This window comes from Homo sapiens, chromosome 5, assembly GCF_000001405.40.
Source record: "Homo sapiens chromosome 5, GRCh38.p14 Primary Assembly".
Lineage (NCBI taxonomy): Eukaryota > Metazoa > Chordata > Mammalia > Primates > Hominidae > Homo > Homo sapiens.
Window position 1 is genome coordinate 87,786,594 of NC_000005.10, and position 3,303 is coordinate 87,789,896.

At 31.2% G+C, this 3,303-nt stretch overlaps 4 annotated features.

Moving 5' to 3' along the window:
* Nucleotides 494–1,240: an enhancer, noted in NCBI's record as "OCT4-NANOG hESC enhancer chr5:87082904-87083650 (GRCh37/hg19 assembly coordinates)". NCBI's record gives its function as "activates a minimal SCP1, AML or CMV promoter by ChIP-STARR-seq in naive and primed H9 embryonic stem cells {active_cell/tissue: H9 hESC(naive and primed)}" and the evidence as "EXISTENCE:reporter gene assay evidence [ECO:0000049][PMID:30033119]".
* Nucleotides 494–2,342: a biological region, named in NCBI's record as "VISTA enhancer hs853".
* Nucleotides 602–2,342: an enhancer, noted in NCBI's record as "VISTA enhancer hs853". NCBI's record gives its function as "enhancer in: forebrain[7/7]" and the evidence as "EXISTENCE:transgenic organism evidence [ECO:0001131][PMID:17130149]".
* Nucleotides 1,241–1,987: an enhancer, noted in NCBI's record as "OCT4-NANOG hESC enhancer chr5:87083651-87084397 (GRCh37/hg19 assembly coordinates)". NCBI's record gives its function as "activates a minimal SCP1, AML or CMV promoter by ChIP-STARR-seq in primed H9 embryonic stem cells {active_cell/tissue: H9 hESC(primed)}" and the evidence as "EXISTENCE:reporter gene assay evidence [ECO:0000049][PMID:30033119]".

Genomic DNA, 3,303 nt, shown 5'->3' on the forward strand with positions numbered 1-3,303 from the left:
AAGGAAGCTACATGTCTGCATAACTTAATGAAAAGACATACACACTTTGTGCACAGCATACATCTGTGATATCTGTATGTTTGGGTCAATGTATTTTTGGAGTACAGATCTCCCAAATCAATAGCTCTTTATTAGAATCCCCTTAGGTGGAGAAGAAAATGTGTACCTCCAGAGATAAAAGTATGTTTATTACATGTTTGTGTGTGTAATTAAATGTAGGATTTTGCCTCAGGAATAAAGCTTGGACTAAATATAAATAATAATTAACTGAGGCTTCTTAGAGAATTTTGGCAAAGGAAAATGGATATTTTCAACATAAATGAGATATGAGAAATTAAAGGTATATTTAAATTATACTAAAGGCAGGGCCCTTTAATTTTCAAATTATTAAACAATTAAAATTTTAAATTATTCTGAACTAAAATGCATGTTTATGTTATGTTTCTGATACAGCAATCTCTTTGCTCCGTTTATTTTGTATTTAATATTTATCAATAAGTACAAGACTTCCTAACAAATGTATAATTTTTTTTCCATGAATCTTTTAGAATTTGTGTGCGCTACACAATTTTGTCACTTGGCACATTTTTATTCCTTCTTAAAAAGGACAAACCATGAGAATCCTGATAGACTATACTTGAAATAAAATAGGAAGTCCACACAACTGAAGGTGAACAAATAATGCAGGCTGAAATGAGTATCTCTTCGAAAGACTACAAGCTTCCTTTTGACATTCAAGCAATTCAGTAAGGAGGGAAAGCGAAATTGAATTTAGCCGATGCAAATGAAATTAAAACTAAATTGGTTGTCACATCAAACTGATGTTAACTATGTAAATGTTTTCTGTTTATGAAACTACAGTTTAGAGTATATAATTCTGCAAAAATAAGAATATTTTTGTGTTCTTTTAAAATATAAATTAAAAGGGCAGATTATGAAATTGTTTAAAATCCTTGCCACTTACCCACGTAATATCAAAGGACCTATGAATCATGAAAACTGTGGACATAGAGTATTGAAATAAACATACACATATAGATATGCACATCAATACACATGCATGCTTTTCTGGCCAAGCAGTACCCCATTACATCATTGCTTCAAATGCATTCATTCTCTTCAATATTGTTGGCTGTTTCAGGTTAACTACCAAAATCATTTGCCTGAGAAGCGAGATTTAATTGTCTTACAACTACCTCTGTGAGGTACAATAGGGATTACAAGTACCCATTGATTATACTATTGGGTAGAATAAGGGACTCTTATTCTAGCATTTCTCATTCATTTTGTCATTGCATTCTCTTTGAAAGAGACCAAATGGGTCCCAGCAGGTGAAAGCAAAGAAACCTGAAAGGCCCCCTTTGATGAATGACAATACCACAACCACCCTCCCCCCCACCATTTTTGGAGATTATAAAACCTTATTAAGTCATGCCCTGTTAGATATTGATTGAGAGGGAGCTAAACTAAAACCAACAATAGCAGCATGGATCAGAGAACACTGCTTTCATCAATGGGCACTAAACACAGCTAAGCTTTCCAATCTTTTCTGGGGGGGCAGGGTGGGGGGACTTTTTTTTTTACTATTTACTTTTGTTTAAACCATTATCCTAGAAAGTCATACAATTATAGCTACTTTGTCAGTTAAGAATAAATCGTAGTTGTCTAGCACTTCATCTTTTTGAATGTAGCAGTGTATTGCACAAACAATATTATACTTGGTTAAGATTCAGGATTATTATTATGATTATTGGGGGGTGCAATTCTGGGTAATTATCATAATTATTCTTGACTCTGGGACTCCTTTGATGACAACGTTGCTTTAAAGTAAACCACTTGGACATAAAACCCAAGATATTTGAAAAGAGACTGCTGCCAGAATCAGAGTTGAAAACTCACCCATATTTTAAAGCTATCTTGATTATCAGGCTGTTTGCGTTCCTGGGCTGTCTTTTCTGCCATCTGTGAGCGCCACAGCAAACAACCCCTTTATGACAATCACCTCAGTATAACTTGAATATGTCTGCTTTAGAGGAGACTTCTGTAATAAGACTCTGTGCTAATTAACTGTCAGCCTTTTTAAAAAAATAAATAAATAAATCAGCAGACTGCATTTTAGAAAGACACTCCACCAAAAAATTCCCAAACAAGATTTAAGTTTATGTGCCAGACTGTAACTTCTACTCCATGTTTTTTCAGGCCTTCCTCTGAGTAAATCTGTTTACTTTAAATACTTCTCATGTGATAAAGGTTTTCATTTTTCTTGCCAGTTGACTACAGGTAGTAACATTTGCTCCTCCTTCTAAACAGCTACTTGATTCAGTAACGTTATCCTCCAAAAATAAAAGAAGACAAAAAAGAAAGGAAAAGGAAGGAAAGGAAAAGAAGGAAGAAAGAAAGAAAAGGAGGGAGGAAAGGATGAAAAAGAGAGAGAAAAGAGTCAGGTGTAAAAAAAACTTTTTTTTTTTTTTTTTGGCCAGAAATGGTAGTTACATGGCAAAAAAAAAAAAAAAAAAAAAAAAAAAAGAAAAAAGAAAAAGTAAATTAGGGTTGTTGCTATTGAAAACAATAATAGTTAAAAGGGCCAGACACTAAAATTATTAGTTTAATATTAAGGATAAATAATTTCTAGTTCAAGAGAAAGAATTATTTGTAGAAACAGCATTATATTCACTGAAAATGACTTTTTAAACAGTCTCTAGAAACCATAATTGTCTTGGAAGAATATAGGAATCAAGGCTTATACAAAACAGACACAGACACTTAAAAATTCATCTTGGTGAACTCTTTCCTACATACTGGATAAAACCAGTAGTAACCACTTGAAAATAAAGCATTAACAATAATATTCCTCTAAAAATATAAAACATAAGAATGAATGCAAAAGTTTTTATTTTCTTGTTAAAATCCACCTTGAATAATGATTCTCCAAAATATACACAAGAAATACAATTTTTAAGTTGAATATAATAAACAGAAAATAAAAACAATACTAAATTATTTTATGTTTTAGGCAAAATTTCATCTCTTCATATTGTATAACTTTTTTACTTAATTTTCAAAGATTTAAATTGCGTTTATAAATTAGATTTTATTATTAAATTATTTTTTTAAGTACTCAAAATGTTACCTAATTGTTAATCAATATTTCCCATTTGTAGGGTCTCCTAGATTTGTTAGCTTAGACTTTAAATTTAGACATTACATTCTTTCAACATTTTTAAACATATGGCATTAAATATTATAATTTATAAATTTTGTTTTGTATTTTTATTTCAACACCTTCCTAATGTCATACTTTGA